The following is an 18,069-nucleotide window of genomic DNA, read 5'->3' on the forward strand; positions in this document are numbered from 1 at the left end:
GCTATTCCTATTTTTTAGTTTTTTTTTCTTTTTTTTTTGTGACAGAGTCTCATTCTGTTGCTTACGCTGGAGTGCAGTGGTGCAATCATGGCTCACTGCAAGCTCCACCTCCTGGGTTCATGCCATTCTCCTGCCTCAGCCTCCTGAGTAGCTGGGACTACAGGCACCCACCACCACGCCTGCCTAATTTTTTGTGTTTTTACTAGAGACGGGTTTCACTGTGTTAGCCAGGATGGTCTCAATCTCCTGACCTTGTGATCTGCCCTCCTCGGCCTCCCAGAGTGCTGGGATTACAGCCGTGAGCCACTGCACCTGGCCTAGTTTTCCTTCTAACAGGACCCTGTGCTGCAGGTCTGTTGGAGTTTGCTGGAGGTCCACTCCAGACCCTGTTTGCCTGGATATCACCAGAGGAGGCTGCAGAACAGCAAAGACTGCTGCGTGTTGTTTCCTCTGGAACCTTTGTCTCATACGGGCACCTGCCAGATGCCAGCCAGAGCTCTCCTGTATGAGGTAGGTCTGTTGGCCCCTACTGGGAGCTGTCTCCCAGTCAGTACACATGGGTGTCAGGGACCCACTTGAGGAGGCAGTCTGATCCTTAGCAGAGCTTGAACGTTGTGCTCTCTTCAGAGCCAGTAGGCAGGGACGTTTAAGTCTGCTGAAGCTGCACCTACAACCGCCCCTTCCGCCAGATGCTCTGTCCCAGGGAGATGGGGGTTTTATCTATATGTTTGGGGGTACTGCCTTTTTTTTTCAGTGATGCCCTTGCCAGAGAGGAGGAATCTATAGAAGCAGTCTGGCCACAGAGGCCTTGCTGAGCTGCAGTGGGCTCCACCCAGTTTGAACTTCCCGGTGGCTTTGTTTACACTGTCAGGGTAAAACTGCCTACTTAAGCCTCAGCACTGGTTGACACCCCTTCCCCCACCAAGCTTGAGCATCCCAGGTTGACCTCAGACTGTTGTGCTGGCAGCAAGAACTTCAAGTTGTGGATCTTAGCTTGCTGGACTCCGTGGGGGTTGGACCCACCAAGCCAGACCACTTGGCTCCCTGCCTTCGGCCCCTTTTCCAGGGAAGTGAATGGTTCTGTCTCACTGGTGTTCTGGCACCACTGAGGTATGGGAAAAAAAAAAACAACACAAAACTCCTGCAGCTAGCTCAGGGTCTGCCCAAATGGCTACTCAGTTTTGTGCTTGAAACCCAGGACACTGGAGGGTATCTTCTGGTCTGTGGGTTGCAAAGACTGTGGGAAAAGCACAGTGTCTGGGCCAGAGTGCACTGTTCCTCATGGCACAGTCCCTCACAGCTTCCCTTGGGTAGGGGAGAGAATTTCCTGACCCCTTGCACTTCCTGGGTGAGGCGACACCCCACACCCCACCTTAGCTGGAAATGTGGAAAAATCACCTGCCTTCTGTGGCGATCTCGCTGGGAGCTGCATACTGGAGCTGTTCCTATTTGGCCATCTTGCCAGCAACCCTGTCTTTATGTCTCTTAAGCACTGGCCAAGGCCCAGTGTTTGGCACATAATAGGTGCTCAATAAATATTTGTGAAGGAAGTTGAAAAAAACCAAAGTGTTCTTCCTAAGAGTCTTATTTCTGCTTGGAATAGCACAGAGTACTCAGAAAAACAAAAGAAATCCAGTCCATTCCAGGGCTAGCACTTGGGGGAGCAATGAAGTAAAGCCCCGCTGGCTACCCTGCCCATTCTGCAGGTGCTGGCTCTCAGAGGGGGACTGCACAGGGAGCAGTGGACTGGGGACAGCTCTGTTTTCTTGCTCTGTGCCTCTCCGGATTGTGGCATCAGCCAGAGCAGTTGTCATGACCCACGTAACGACTGCCTTGATTGATTTTTGTTGGTTTTCCAAAAGTTACCAGTTAGGAAGTTGGGAGCTTTTGATCTTCCCTAACAGCTTCTTTGACGTTTCAACTAGGATTACCAAGAGGATAAACACTTTGCCAGCCCTTTCTCTGAGAGTTCCTCCCAATTCTGAGAGTCAAGGGCCTTGACTTACTGGCATCTTCCTCCCATTCCTGCACATCTTCCTGAGTGCCTCAATGGTTGTATGCAAACATCCTCTCATCAACCAATCTGCCCCCATCTTCTGGGGGCCACACCACATGAGGCCCCTTTTGGGAATTTAGAAAACTGTATCTGTCTCCCTGATTTTCCTCCCTAGGGCCACACAAAAGCATTGGACTAAACAGCAGAGCAAGAGAGAGAGAGAGACAGACAGAGAGAGGAGAGACAATGCAAGCATATCTTAGAAATGTCAGTGTGGTGTGAGCCAAGAAAAATCAAACACATTCAGCTATTTGGTTGTGGGTTTTCAGGAAGCCAGGCCTTTGCATAGTGCAGATGCTGTAAAATGGTATCTTGAATAAAGAAACTTAAATATTGCTTTAAGTGAGCCACACCTGTGTCATGCATCCTTTACCAGGAAACCTATACTGCTGGGAGTCCATACAAGGAGTCCTTTCTTGTTGTCTACTTGACAAGACATGGCTCTCCACTAGGCTGCATTATTTAAGGGCCAAGGTAATGGGATGGGGTTTTTCTTCTGTCTTTTTCAAATGAAGGAGCTCTTGAAGACTTATGATAAATTATGCTGGAAGTTATCAAAATATTCTATTCCAAGTGCTTTTAGAAATGATTTTTTTTAAATGATTTTTTTTTCTACTTTGTGGCATCACTAAATATGAAGCAAAGCCCAAGCCATGTGGTCACATAGACCTGGGTCTGGATCTCAGCCCTACCTTCTAGGAAATGACCAGGTATAAATTAACTTCTTTGTGCCTAAGTTTCTTTCTACTTATGCCAACAATATACATATTCCTACCCTAGATGTTTCCTGAAATTACATAATATAGTTTACTGTGGACCAATAACTCAAGGCCTTGGGCTCTCAGGGTTGGGAAGGACTTTTAGAATAAAGGCTGGCAAAATGTTCATCCTCTTGCCAATCTGAGTTGAAAGATCAAGAAGGTATTAGACCAGATCAAAGTCTCCTGATTGGCAACTGTGGCAAACCAACAGGAATCAATCAAGGCAGTTGGTTATGACGACTGCCCTGGCTGATGCACCTAACAAGAAAATGGAGCTGTCCACAATGCTCTCCTCCCTGTGCAGTCCCCCTTTGAGAGTCAGCCCCTGCAGCATGGCCAGGGTAGCCACTGGGACTTCTCTCATTGCTCCCGCCAAGGGCCAGCCCTGGGATGGACTGTATTTCCGAGTATACTGTGTGCTGTTCCAAACAGAAATGAGACTCTCACGAGGAACATTTAGTGCAGAATCTGATGCATATTAGGTATACAGTTTTGTTGAATGAGTTTGTGTGTGTGGTCCTATACTAAGAAGTAGAGCTGTTTCTCCTTCCCTCTCCTTAGTTCTTTCACCTCTGGGGCAATGGCCCAAGAACTCACTTCAACAACAGTGGGTGGGTGTATTCTCTTGATTTGGTCTATACTCAGGTTGTAATTTGCTGATGTTGTTGCGTTCGGAGCACCCAGTATGTGATAATGGTAGATAATAAAATCGATTAAAGTAATGATAGTAAACATAGTCGATTAAAGTAATGATAGTCACAAGAATGTTCAAGAAAATGTGAGTAACCTTCCTGCTTCAGACCTTCAGTTGCCCTTCTTACCTTCTCAGAGACAAACGCTGTGGGGGTTTTAAAACATGTTTGCAAATTCTTTGACACTCTTCCCAACAGGAGAGTGATATGCTATATGACACTGACGTATTCTAGGTAAACTTTTTGTTTCCTCCCCCTTTAATCAAGACACACTTAGGACTGCTTTGGTCAATAGGGCATAGCAGAAGTGAATCTATGTAACTTCTGGGACTGAATCATCACAGACCATGCAGTTTCTGCCTTCTGTCACTGCAACATTCACTCTTGGAGTCCTGACTGACCTCTTATGTAAAACATTTCACTATCCTGAGGCTACCATGCTGTGAGGAAGCCCAAGTCACATGAAAAGGCCATGTTTAGGCATTCCAGTAGACCGTCCCAGCTGAGCCTAACCTTTGAATCATTTCTGCCCAGGTGCCAGAAATGGCAAAGAAGCCTCCAGATGATGGTAGCCCCAAGATGAGATACACATAACCCTTCAAGTCTTTCTACTTCAGGCCACAGACATAATGGAGCAGAGACAAGCCATCCACAATGTGCCCTATTCAAATTCTTGATCGACAGGATCCAAGAAAAGACTAAAAGGATGGTTGTTTCACACCACTAAGTTTTGGGGTAGTTTGTTATGCAGATTTGATAACCTGAACAATCAGTGTGATTGTGTGTCTGCTCAGAGAAATCTGTATATTCTTAATGTCACTTTCTCTTTTTCCTTAAACTTAAATATTTTTTCTTGTTACATAATAGTTGTACCTATTTATGGGGTATATGTGAGATTTTGATACAAGTGTACTTCCTTTTTCCTTTTAACACAAACTGAAGCAGACTATGCACCCTGTTATGTACCATATGTTTTACAAGGGAACTATTTTTAAAATGCTTTACTTACAGGTTTGCGAACGTCAGGTAACGTAATCCAGAGAGGAAACACTATGGGGAAAACAATCAGAAACGTGACTTGCTTGCGGGTTTCAGAAGGCCAGGCAAGGCTGAGAGGCTGGTCCTCCTCCTCATCAGCGGTCTGTGGTAGAAAAAGAGGTAAAATTAAACAAACAAAAAAATAAAATGTACACAGGCACAACAACAGGAGCACAGAACAAAGGGGAAGCTCCATGTCTTATCAGTTTTCTGGACTCGTTCCAGTAGCTTCATATGTGTGATTTTGAGATTTGTCACAGTCTGAGTCCTAGGAACAAATAATACATTGTCCAGCCATGAGCATGTAAGAATTTTCTTTTATCTCCTTGAATGCTCTTCAGTTTCTCATGTTCATCAACTGATTATTCAACTGGAGTGGGCTACAACTACAATTCACGAGCTTCTTATAACAAACTATATCTGTGGAGGAAAAGACTTGATGACCACCATCTCCCCATCTTTCCTTCTCCTTGAAGACAGAGTCACAAGCTTTCAGGCTCCTTGGGAAGGAGAGCACTGATAAAAAATATTTCTTTTTCTCTTTTTTTTTTTTTGGAACACTGATTTTCATCAGGCAAATGAAAGTAACCACAGAAACAATTCAGTAATACTACTAAGAGAGATTAACTTCCCACTGGCCTTGGAATAGCTAAGTGCATTGATTTTTGTGTAGTTGTGAGTTTTTTTCTTTCATTGATATTTTACGTATTTCTGGGGTAAATGTATTTTTTACATGCATTGAATGTGTAATGATCAAGTCAGGGTATTTGGGGCCTCCATCACCTTGAGTGTTTATCATTTCTATGTGTGGTAACATTCCAAGCCCTCTCTTCTAGCTTTGGAATATATAGTGTGTTGTTGCTAGCTACGGTCACCCTAGTCTCCTAAGGAACATTAGGACTGATTTCTTCTATCTAACTGTAAGTTTGTACCCATTGACCGACCTCTCTTCATTTCTCCCTGTCACCCCCACACCCTTCTCAGGTTGTGAGTTGGTCACCTGCTTAACCACAGCTAAATTCTAAACCATTGTACTTGCAGCCAAAGACAACTTATGCAAACATATGTCTCAGTCCTCAGAAACAGAAAATACAAGTCAAGCAAGACAGTGAACCTGCACGGGGTGTCGGAGCCAGGGAACAAACTTCAGAGTCTCTGACTTGGCAGCCAATGGCCAGCGTTTTATTTGTCAGCCACTGAAGTCAGTAGCTTCTGAAGTCAGGGCTAGAAGAGATGGAGGGGGAGGGTCTGGGCCCAGCAGGGGGTGACCGTTAGCCTGTCAGCTGAGCCCTCAATACTTCCAAAACAGCACTGTAGACATCATCAATCACTCCCTTCCCTGCTTGTTTGAAAATGAAAGTGCAGCAGTGGACCACGCATCAGATCTAAAAATATCAACAGGAACTTTTCCACTGATGCTTCCTTTTGAGACCATATAAATAACTTTAGAAAGCTCCTACCCCTGGGGCTCTTGCTTCCAGCACCATACACTTTTCAAACAGTAACAGCGCCCCCCTCCAGCACCTGTGTCCCTACAGAGGTGGCATGAGGGGCAGGCTCAGGTCAGCTGGCCTTGAGGAGAGGTCAGGGCTGGGTGAGAGGCCGGGCTCACAGCAATGCTATGTCTTGTTTATTTATCTGGCAAAACTGAGGTACTGCAGAAAGTATGTATAGTGTTTTATACAATCTCTTCAACTCTCCCTAGGAGTTACAATTTGAAATAATAATTTAAAAAAGGGATGCGAAGCCATATTGAAAAGGGTTAGTAACAACAGGTTCTTCTGCTTTGGGTATATGTCCTTGGCAGTGGGTAAAAGAATTTGTAAACAGCAAATATGGTGGAATTAAAGGGATTAGGTATAATAATAATAAGGCAGCATCAGGAAGTTGACAGTTTATTTTGGTACCCTGGATCCTTTTTAAATATACACCTCACACTCCCTATTTCTTTCTATGCAATTCACATATTATTCCATCCATTGCTTTCTTTCTTCCATCCTGAGGGCTCCCATCTTTGGTGGAAGCTTGGTGTGCTGGCTCTGGTCCCTCTTCTATGCCACCTCTGTCTCTTCCTTGTGGATATAGCAGGTGTAGAGAATATCATTCCCTATTGGGCTCACCAGCCTCCCAAGGTGTCAGCTAGCTACGTGAATAATCTTTGTGTCATGGGGCCAATGTGGATTAAGGAGACAGGTATATTTTCCTGTCTGTTCCCTCCCAGATATGATCCTTCTTGTTTAACCCAAATGAATGACTTTCCCCTTACCTCCTGGCAGATGCCCCAGAAATAGGCATGGGAGCCTTGGGGTACTGCATCATTCTTAATAAATACCCCATCTCACATGAGAGATGATTTTTTTTTCTAGCAGAGAGTCAGTCAGCTTCCCTGAAGACCCATCAAGCTGATGAGTTCATTAAGGCTCCTCCCCATTCTGAGATTGATGCCTCCCCCTAGCTCTGTTCATCACTACCATCCACAATCTAGCAACTTTTCTCTCGACTTCAAGCTAACCTTTTTCTGATAAAACACAAAAGCAACTCTTTATGACTCATATCATTTTAATGACACCAACAGATGGTGACATTTCATCAATAACCCTTCTGCTTATAACCTACGGATTAGCTCCTTTCTCCATCTGCCAAAGTCACCAGGCAGGCATTGCCACTAGCAAATAGCAGAAAATAATAATTGTCTGTTTAGATGTATAAGCTCTAAACACACTACTGTCCAATGCAAACAATTAACTATATTGAACAGCTTCCAAAGCTGCATTGGAGGTAGCTGTTGCTAGGGCAGAAATGGACTAGGAGAAGAGACTATGTCTCAGGCTGTGCCAACAGGGCTCTCCATGGAAACTTCACAGCCTCCTGGGGGCCAAGTCCTGCTACAGGGAAGTACAGGAACCTAGAATCCTGGGGTGGATTTGAGAGGTACCCCAGGAGCAAGGCTGTTGGCATACATTAGGTGAAATTATCTTTGCCAAGTAAAGTCTCACTCTGGCTCAATGGGAGGCAGTTTGCAAGCTGGTTAGAGAAGTGGAAGAAAAAAATACTGTTCCAAGTTTGAGGCTTATTTTGTCTTTGTTCAAACTGGATGCTCCAGGGGAGAGGCCACTGAGGTTAGGGCAGTGATTTTCCAACTTTTCCTAGAGTTGTGGTATGCTGGCTTTGACCTTGTGACAACTCACCCTTACCTCCTAAAATTTCTGCAGAGTGTCCATAGAAAACAAAACAAAGCAAAATGGTCCAGAAAGGATTCAAATGGCTTTTGATATGAGGGCTTAAAATAGTTTGATATCTGCTGGGGTCTCTGTAGAAGCCTTAGAATTGTGTAAAGCTTTAGGGCCTTGTAATCTTTGATATGAAAAATCTGACACAAAAACATATGACTTTAAGTTCCCACATGGTGGGTGGTGGTGTGTTGGTTGTCAGAACTTAAAAGAGTCAGTGCAGCATGCTGGGCAGAGTAGGTGGTAGAGAATCAGGAATCCTGAGTTCCAGTGTCTGCTCAGGCTGTGATTCCTTGGGTAGTTACCACCAACACCTGCAAGCAGTCACTAAGCACCTACAGGTGCAAAGCACTGCATTTAATTCTAGGACTCCTGCTTTCAAGGAGTCTTGGATTTAAAAGGTGAGACAGAACAGAAGATTCCAAAGAATTACTGCAGTATTTATCCAGTTACAGGGCTGCTGGCCGGTTAACGTGGCAAGAGACTACTGCTTGTCTTCCCGTATCTATTCTGCCTATTATGGACTGAATTGTGTTCCCTCCAATCATGCCCCTTCCTTCTCCCCCACCCAAATTCATATGTTGAAGCTGCAACCCCCACCAGTACCTCAGAATGTGACTTATTTGGAGATAGGATCTTCAAAGAGGTAATTAAGTTAAAACAAGGCCACTAGTGTGGGTCCTAATCAAATCTACCTGGTGTCCTTATAGGAGAAGATTAGGACACCTAGAGAGACACTAGGGGTTCCTTTGCACAGAAGAAAGGCCACATGAAGATGGGGACACAGCAAGAAGGCAGCGGCAGCAAGCAAAGGAGAGAGGCCTCTGAGGAAACCAACCCTGCCAAACACCTGCTGCTTGGACTTCTAGCGTCCAGAACTGTGGTAAAGTAGCTTTCAACAAAAAGTGATACAAATAAAAAGCAATACAGTGTAACAACTATTTACATAGCATTTACATTGCATTAGGCATTCTAAGCAATCTAGAGATGATTTAAAGGATATGGGAGGATATATATTTGTTATATGCAAATTCTACCCCATTTTATATCAGGGACTTGAGCATCCATGGAATTTGGTAACCTTGGGGATCTTGGAACCAGTCCCCCACGGATAGCAAGGGATGACAGTACTGCCTTTATGCTTTAACAAATGGAAAGCTTGCTTTTACCTAGGCTTGGAATAAAGACTCTGGTTTTCAGCCTTCTCGGCAAGGTGTGGCAATGTGATTAAGTTCTGGCCAAAGGATGTATTGGAAGTGTCCTTCATACAACTTCCTGGATCTATCTTTAAAGGGTGCGGATGCACCCTTCCTCCTTCCTTCCTCTTTCTTGCTGGCTGGAGGGGACATTTTGACCACAGCAGAAGATAATCTTGGGCCATGGGGTGGAGGAACAATATATGAGGCTCTGAGTTTCTGACACCCATCAAGGGCCATTCGTGCCCTGGACTGCCTATACTGACTTGAGAGATAATCAGAAACTGATGACTGATGGCAATGCTTCCGGGATAAAGGCACCCACATGCTGTGACTGCATTTGCTGAGCAGCCTGGGATCACTCTATGAATTACATAGGAAGCAGGAATCTGGTCTCTCTATAAGATATCTTATTAATGCAGGTCAGGGGGCCACATGTTAACACTAGACTAGGTGTCAAAATGCAGGACTTAACACTGGTTTTCTTGGTGTTTATAGGAAATTCTGCCCAAGTCATGCACCCACTTCACATCACAATATGTTCTTTCTCACAGGGATAATCAAAAGGGCACTCTTAAAAAAAAAATTATCTTATTCAAGCCATTGTTATTTTGGGTTTTTAGTTCTTTACAGTGCAAGTTTATCCTAACTGATCTAGTGTTCTCTTTATGAGGACTCAAGGGAGAAACAGCTCTCAAATCTCAGCACTAAGAAAAGTCAGACCTCTTCTGAGAAACTGAAAAATCTTAGAAATACTATGAGTCATGTAATCGATAAGATTCTTTCTGTGTTTTGTTCACTGGGGAGTTCAGAGCCAAATTTGTAACCTGTACCCAACAATGACAGTGGTGGATCTGTGCTCACCATGTTGCGGTCTTAGTACTGTCATTTCTCATCCTGGGCTGTATTTTCTCAAAACCATTCATTTTATCCTTTTTCCTCAGATGTATTTTTGTAAGTAGCCTCGAATCTTGTGAAAAAAGGTGAGGCAGGCGTAAATAAAAAAAGTAACATTCTTCAGTGGTGTAATAGAAATTTTAGTGTAACTTTATCAGGTTGAAAAGACTTGAGAGTTGGGCTTGGTGGCTCACACCTGTAATCCCAGCACTTTGGGAGGCCAAGGCAGGTGGATCACTTGAGGTCAGGAGTTTGAGACCAGCTTGGCCAACATGGTGAAACCCCATCTCTACTAAAAATACAAAAATTAGCTAGGTGTGATGACAGGTGCCTGTAATCCCAGCTACTCAGGAGGCTGAGGCAGGAGAATCACTTGAACCCGGGAGGCAGAGGTTGCAGTGAACTGAGATCTTGCCACTGCACTCTAGCCTGGCAACACAGACTCCATCTTGGGGAAAAAAAAGACTCAAGAAAGAGAATATACATGTTATTCTAAGTGACAACTGGTAACAAATTGATAACTGCCTTCTAGGACTCTTATCAATACCGAACATTGAAATCTGGAGGCTCGGCCATCAGAACTCTTACACAGCACAGAAGACGAGTTTCACGGGTCACTCAGCATCTACTGGAAGGGTAAAATCAGCTTGCCTTTATTTTTATCTGGTAAATGGGAGGTACAGCAGTAGCTGGTCCAGATGCTCATAGCATCATGATAATCCATTTAGCTTCTTTGCATGTACATCTTACACTTTTTCCATTTGAATTTGGTATAGAAGTTTGCCCCCAAATAAACATCAGGTCTTCGGTGGAGAAGCCTGAGTTGGATTCACCAGTTCAGAGGTTGCCTCAGAAGCCAGAAAAATATTTCTTGGAGGCAACCCGGTTTCTTATTTTTTGTCTGTGAAGGGCACTGAGCAAGATTCCAGAGTGAAGGTGAGCCCACTTTAACACAATCTCTCCTATCAGAGAATTAAAGTGAAAACTCAGGAGGCATCTGAAAATAGGCCTAATTCAAGTTCAGTTTTATTGACTGGTAATAACATCTCATCACCAGTTCACAAGGAGCAATCTCGGAGGATCACCCAGGTTTGCCTAAATCCCAGTTGAGGCTTGATTCAGGCTGGGAGTGAAGTTCTTACATCTCTCCCCCGGCTCACTGTAACACTTAGGAGTGCTACCTCTTATCATTGGGAAGCCTGTTCAGTGTGGAATGATGCTGGGTCAAAATAGAATGTCAGCACTTACGTATTTTACATAAAAACATAATTCATTGACTTTAAAAACACTAGTGCCTCTCACTGCCTTCTAGGCCCCACCAGACGTTAAACACTATGTTATTGCAAGGCAGAGCTCATTTGTCTCCTGGGATGTTTTAATGTGGGTTACCTTCCTGTACAAGAACTTCTTACTCAATTAATCATATGGACAATAATAGATCACAACAGACAAGCTGCAATCATAGATGTCTGCAGTCATTTAGGAGCTTTAGGCCCCAAGAAAAGGAGCTCCAGAATTTCAGAGTAGGTAAGGTCCTGTCCTTGAGACCAGCCCCCTCATTTGATGGGTAGGGAACCTGAGATGGAGTGACCTGCTGAACAAAAGTGACAGTGCTAGGCCAACCCTGAGTAACCCCTAAGTCCCAGCTTAAGGATCTTCCCCTATTCCACACTCCCCACTTTCCTCAGTTCTAAAAATAGATATGAATGGGCTTTACATCCAGTTATACCAGGATTCTCAGCTTTGTTTTGTAATAAATTAAACCCATTAAAATAAAAGCTAGGTATAGCAAACATGAAGTGTAGGAGTTCAGTCAGGGTGGTGGGAACAATTGTAAGAGGAAATTACAGGAAAGAGAAGCAAACCTTCTTGGAAGGCCTGGGGGTGTTTTACAAAGCTTTGGGGAAGAATGAGCCGAAGGCGGTGGTTCTTATCCTGGGGCAGAGGGCGAGAAGTAGGTACAAAATAATACAAGGGAGTTTATCTGAATAGCTTGTTTACTCATGTCTCCAGAAACGTGACCTTTAATCATCCATGTGTAATTACCCTGTAGTGGTGTTGACTCAAAGCCTTTGTCATTAAATCTGTGCTGAATAAATGCTGGCAGGGCCAGCTAGTCAAGGCATGCAGCTGCCACAGCTCTGAGTGGCCCAGCCCCCTAGCTGCTCTTTCACTGAATATTGGTGTCTGAGTATGTTATTCATCCATCGTGCAGCCTGGGTCTGTGGGTCAGACCCCAGTAATGAAACATTTAATTGACTTTTTTTTTTTTTATATTTTCTTGAGCCTAAAACTAATTTCTAATGGTCTAAATGGCTCACATTTCTTTTTTTTTTTTTTGAGACAGGGTCTCACTCTGTCACCTAGACTAGAGTGCTAGAGTGCAGTGGCATGATCTCAGCTCACTGTAGCCTCCATCTCCCTGGGCTCAAGCAATCCTCCCACTTTAGCCTCCCAAGTAGCTGAGACTACACGTATGCACCACCATGGCTAATTTTTGTTTATTTTTTGTAGAGACAAGATTTCACTTAGTTGCCCAGGCTGACTCAAGTGATCCTCCTGCCTTGGCCTCCCAAAGTGCTGGGATTATGGGTGTGAGCTACTGTTCCAGGCCTCACATTTCCTTAAAAAGCTGATAAGAAACATCTGAATGTTGTATTCTTTTCCTTTTCTCAGAGTCATATAACATCCACGGCAGCATTGAAAGTGAAATGAAGGGCAGACCTGGGGGTGTGTGGAGAGTAGGGGCCACTGAGATGCCCTCTTCTCTCCTTTAGCTTACTGAGTAACATCTCCAAGTTCCTAGGTGCAAATTTAAAAATGAAGTGCAGGTGCTAAGTCACCAATGAACATCAGGACCTCAAATATAAGTTAGGAAGAAAGACTTGTCTTTTAGCATCTCTACCCAAGAAAAAGGTATAGAGATTTAGCTCAGTCTGATGTAGGGAGGAGGTGGCAACCAAGTGCACTATGGCCAAAATGAGGGCTTGTGATTTTATGTGCACTTCATTGCTGATGGCACCCCTGATTCCCATAACTGTGGATAATCTTGGTCTGGCTACTTCTAAAATGGATATCTGGGGGACACTGTAGAAGATGGATTAAGCCCTTTATAACAATAAACTTTCCTGGGGCTAACTTTAGCAAGAACTGAAATAGGAGATAATTTTCAGACTTCAACATTCAGTGTTCAAAGGCCAACAGAGCCCCATGAGAAGAATATGCACAACAAAAACAGCATCATCTTTAAACAAGGAACTATCCTGCTTCTCTTCCTACCTCCCTCCTCTTTCATTATTGGAGCATTGAAAATACTCTCACTGACAAAGGCGGCATGTTTTATTTTTCCAATTAGGTTTCCTTGGAAACTGGTAAAAAGGTATGTGCCTATATAGTGAGTGTGTGGGAGGCTCCTAGGAGAAGACATCTTGAGAGTGTCTTACCTAATTGCAGGGATGGTTGGAGAAGGGATCGAGAGACAAAGACCCACTTTTCATATGGTTTTCTACTAAATAGGAAGTCAAGCCCAAGGCTGTCTTAAATACCCATTCTTTTACAACATGGTTGTTATAAAATTAACTAGGATAATCCAGGAAGGCACTTACAAGAGTATTTGGCACATAGTGAACACTCAAACATTCAAACAAATGTTACTTAATTAAAGTAAATATTTAGAAAAATAATTTCTTCAAAGACATGTAGGAGAAAAAAAGCTTGACTAGGTGAATTATAACATTTCCAGCAATATGATTCTATAATTATTTGATTTGAAGGTGGAAAATGCAAAAATTTTGTACCTCCATCTATCCACTTACCCAATATTTATCAAGCATTCATTGACTTTAGTGATATCAATAATTTCTTATTCTCTCAGGCAATGTGAATAAATAGAAAGCCTTTGTAAATAAGATGAAAGGCAAAATTTCACAGCACTAAGGAGAAAATACGATTTTATTCCAGTAGGCAAGCTTTAAGTAGACTTACTATCAGAAACAAAGCTTCTAAGCAGGGGGCAAGACTCATAATATTGTGACATCTTAATTCTGTGTTTTGTGCAGAGCTGAAAACAATGGTAGAGTTGGAACTCTTGAAGGTAAAATTACCAAAAGTGCATAGTCACACTTTGAAACAGGGAAACGCTCTGAAATCAACAACTATTTGCCAAATGAAAGGTGCCCCCCCAGAAACATTCCATAGAACACTCTCCATTTTGTAAGTTTAAATCACACTACACATTTCACAAAGGAAATACCTATAAACTCCCACCCAAAACAGTGGCTGGCTCAGAAATAGTAAGTTATTCTCACCTCCATTGTTTCCTAAACATATTGCCTAATTAGTGGGATCAGCATACTAATGACCTTCCTTATGTCAATGGACTACAAAAATAGAACATTATACTTGAAATTGAAATATGGGAGACTGACCCATAAAATTATTCACTACTGGGTTGTGGATCATTTTGGTCTCACCGACCCAAACACCTGACCTCACAATCTCTAAGTGACACATGGAAAATGAACTTTTGGGACCCTGAAACTGTAGTTTAGGACTTGCCAAACAAGGTGTGCTGTGAGTCACTTCCAAAGCAAACCCCGAGTTCAGGGATGGCTTTCCTAAGGGCTCTAAGGCTGAGGATAAAGCATCATTTGCTTTTCTTCTTTGAAAAGGTATGAAAACAGGGAGAGTCTGGAAGAAGAAAAACCGTTAGACCATATGATAGAAACCAGAGAGCTGTATTCAGAAAAGTTCAGTTACTCAACTCTGATGTCAGTCCCTACTGACTGTTATAGACTGAAAGTTTATGAGCCCGCCCCCCACCCCCAATTCATATTCCCAAACTCTACTCTCTACACTCCTCTGTATTCAGAGATGAGGCCTCTAATGAAGTGATTAAGGTTAAATGAGGTAATAAGGGTGGGGCCCTGATCCAATAGGATCATAAGATATACCAGAAGGCTTGTGCTCTCTCTCTGTCTCTATGTCCCCCTCTTTCCCCTCAGGGTGCACATGCACCAAGGGAAAGCCACGTGAAGACATAATGAGACAGCAGCCATCTGCAAACCAAAACGGAAGCCCTTACCAGAGACTGAATCTGCCAGAACCTTGATCTTGGACTTCCAACCCCTAGATCTGTGGCAAAATAAACTGTTGTTTAAGCCACCAAGTCTCTGGTATTTTTTTCTGGCAGCCCCAGTAGGCTAATACAATGCCCATAAGGATGTTTATCTTTTTCAAAGGTCTCATTTTTGAATAGATCTTTTTGCTTTGAAATAAATCATTGTGTTCACTTAGTTTATTTTTAAATTGTCCCTTTTTTCCACTCATTCTTTATTGAGCCATAGAAAGATCTCTATCTTTGTTCTTTTAATTTCTCAATGTCTTTGCATTTGTGTGTGTGTGTGTGTGTATATATATATATATATATAGAGAGAGAGAGAGAGAGAGAGAGAGAGAGACAGAGTCTTACTCTGTCACCCAGGTGGGAGTGCAGTGGCATGATCTTGGCTCACTGCAACCTCCGCCTCCCAGGTTTGAGGAATTCTCTTTCCTCAGCCTCCCGAGTAGCTGGGATTACAGGTGCCAGCCACCACACCTGGCTAATTTTTTTTTGTATTTTTAGTAGAGGTGGGTTTTTACCATGTTGGCCAGGCTGGTCTTGAACTCTTGACCTCAAGTGATCCACCCACCTTGGCTTCCCAAAGTGCTGGGATTACAGGCGTGAGCCACCACACCTGGCCTGTATTTGTATTTTTTAACCAACTAATTCTCTCTACTCTGTTCTTATCCTCTACTTTCCTATCACTTACCTCTTATCCATAAGATAAGTGAAAAAGAGGTAAGTTTACGTGTTTCTTATTGGAAGGCAATGCCATCTGAAACATTTGTCTTGCCTTCTGTGTGAACATCCTAAACCAACAGAGCTAACAGTTAAGTGGAAAACAGACTTTTTTTTTTTTTTTTGAGATGGAGTCTTGCTCTGTTGCCCAGGCTGCAATGCAGTGGTGTGATCTCGGCTCACTGCAACCTCCGCCTCCTGGGTTCAAGGGATTTTCCTGCCTCAGCCTCCCGAGTAGCTGGGACTACAGGTGCGTGCCACCACACCTGGCTAATTTTTTGTATTTTTAGTAGAGATGGGATTTCACCCATCCAGGATGGTCTTGACCTCCTGACCTTGTGATCCACCTGCCTCGGCCTCCCAAAGTGCTGGGATTACAGGCGTGAGCCACTGCTCCTGGCCGAAAACAGACTTCTTAAAAATGATAAATCGTTGCTTGCCTGATGGTAGAAAATAGTATACTCCCTTTATAATACCATCATATGGTTTGTTTTATATATAGATGGAAAAAATCAAGAATTTGGCACCCTAAACACAACATGAGAAGGTTTCACTCAGTAATGGCCTCCTGAAAACAACTTAATCTTCTTGGACAAGACTCTGAACTGAAATCAAGGTTTCAAAATATTTTGTTGTGAGTGATGAAGCTGTCTGGACCTAACTTTTCCGAGAGGCCAAGAAACCATTCTGTAATCCTGCAAAATGGTTTCTGAAGAGTCTGGTGAAATGCAACTGTTATCCCTCACTTTGCATTTTGCTCCAACGATTCTGAGGTGCAACTTATGGATGAGACTGATTTCTTTCCATATTGCTGTAGTAAATTGGTTTTTGTTGTTTTCATGGGCTTTGTAAATCTTGCTGATAAAATCCATAAGTGATTTGCTAACATAAAAGCTAACTGGAGAAACATAAAAAATAATTCAAAAATCATTTCATCTTATCAACTGGATTAAAATTAAAATTATTAGAAATACTAATGATAGTATTTCTTTCCAGAGTGGTAATGGAGTTTTTTTCCTTTTTATTAATAGCCCTTAATGTATCTTATGGGAACAATTAATAGACATTCTTCAAACTCCTTCAGAAAGCCCAATGACAAGTGGCATTTTTACCAGCGAGATTCTCAGCGAATATATAATTCTTTGTCAATATTCAAATTAAGGCAGAAACTCTAGAGTCTGATCTGTATCTATTTCATCTTTTAAATGTGTTGAAAGGCCTCTGAGTGCATCTTAAGCAGTTGGTAAATATTTTTCAGGTCATCACATACAGGAACTGGACCCCAGTTTTTCCTAAAAAAATATGTATGTACAGATGACAGAAAAAAAATTGCCTTCAGAAAATGGAACCCATGTGCCAAGGCCTGGTCAGTAAAAAAATCCCTAATTTTTGCTTGTTTTATAATTTGTCTTAGGTTTTCTCTGACACTAGTGGATTTCTTTTTTAAGGCAGTCATAGTTCTAATACTGTTCAGGCCTTGAAAAATCCAATCTAGGCTGGATTATGGTGGCTCACACTTGTAGTCCCAGCACTTTTGGAGCTCTGGGTAGAAGGATCGCTTGAGGCCAGGAGTTTGAGACCAGCCTGGGAAACACAGCAAGAACTATTTCTACAAAAGATTTTAAAAAATTAACTGGGCATGGTGGTTTGCACCTGTAGTCCTAGGTACTTGTGAAGCTGAGGTGGGAGGATCACTCAAGCCCAGAAGTTGGAGGCTGCAGTGAGCCATGACTGCACCACTGTACTCCAGCCTGGGTGATGGTGCAAGACCCCAACTCTAAAAAAATAAAAATAAACAGTCTGATGAAGAGTCTTTTGATATTCTTATTTCTTTCACTATTCAGCTTTGGCATCTCTCCCCCAGCACTGCTCTTGTGTTCTAGTGGTGTCAGACATAAATACACACACACCGCTTTTCACCAATGCCTCTACTTCTTGGGTGGCAGAACCTCTTATTATACTTCACTGATGTTCCAGGAGATTGAAAAACCAGGGAAATGCAATTCTTGCCTATTTATTTTTAAAGTTTGAAAATGGTGGACCTGACTGTTACCCCTTAATTAATTATTTAGAAAGGCGACTTTCTCTTTGGAGGTTCCCAAACCCTGTATTAAACCTCACCACTGCTAAGCACTTAAATGTTTGCTTACTAAGGATAATATTTTAGGAAGAAAGACATCATATGAATTCAGGTACCGTATGCTTGGATAATCTTAGAAATCCCTATCAGAGCTAACATTTTTTGACCAACATTTATTACGAAATCTTCCAAAGAGGGTCTAAAATCATAGCTGCAACTTTAAACAACAGTGACGATGCCAATCTGTAACAAAACTTCTGATTTTTATAATGACCTTCCT

General features: G+C 42.8%; 1 protein-coding gene and 1 long non-coding RNA gene across 9 annotated transcripts in view; one reads left to right on the top strand and one right to left on the bottom strand.

Moving 5' to 3' along the window:
- LOC105375988 (uncharacterized) overlaps positions 1-17,540 on the top strand; it is a 93,057-nt gene extending 75,517 nt beyond the window's left edge. For 3 of the 4 annotated variants that reach the window (XR_007061431.1, XR_007061430.1, XR_929510.4), the window contains 3 exons: positions 8,488-8,660; positions 10,403-10,506; positions 16,212-17,540. This is a non-coding gene — a long non-coding RNA (uncharacterized LOC105375988). Of the gene's footprint in view, positions 1-4,582; positions 4,668-8,487; positions 8,661-10,402; positions 10,507-16,211 lie in introns of those variants that run through there. The other variant, XR_929513.4, reaches the window with a different exon arrangement.
- The window catches only part of SLC24A2 (solute carrier family 24 member 2), an 800,438-nt gene that overhangs the window by 38,164 nt on the left and 744,205 nt on the right, over positions 1-18,069 (bottom strand). For all 5 annotated transcript variants that reach the window (XM_017014592.2, NM_001193288.3, NM_020344.4 and 2 more), the window contains one exon: positions 4,519-4,650. In XM_017014592.2, the coding sequence (XP_016870081.1) occupies positions 4,519-4,650 (132 nt within the window). The remainder of the gene's footprint in view (positions 1-4,518; positions 4,651-18,069) is intronic.

Source organism: Homo sapiens, chromosome 9, assembly GCF_000001405.40.
Source record: "Homo sapiens chromosome 9, GRCh38.p14 Primary Assembly".
In the NCBI taxonomy this organism is placed as follows: Eukaryota; Metazoa; Chordata; class Mammalia; order Primates; family Hominidae; genus Homo; species Homo sapiens.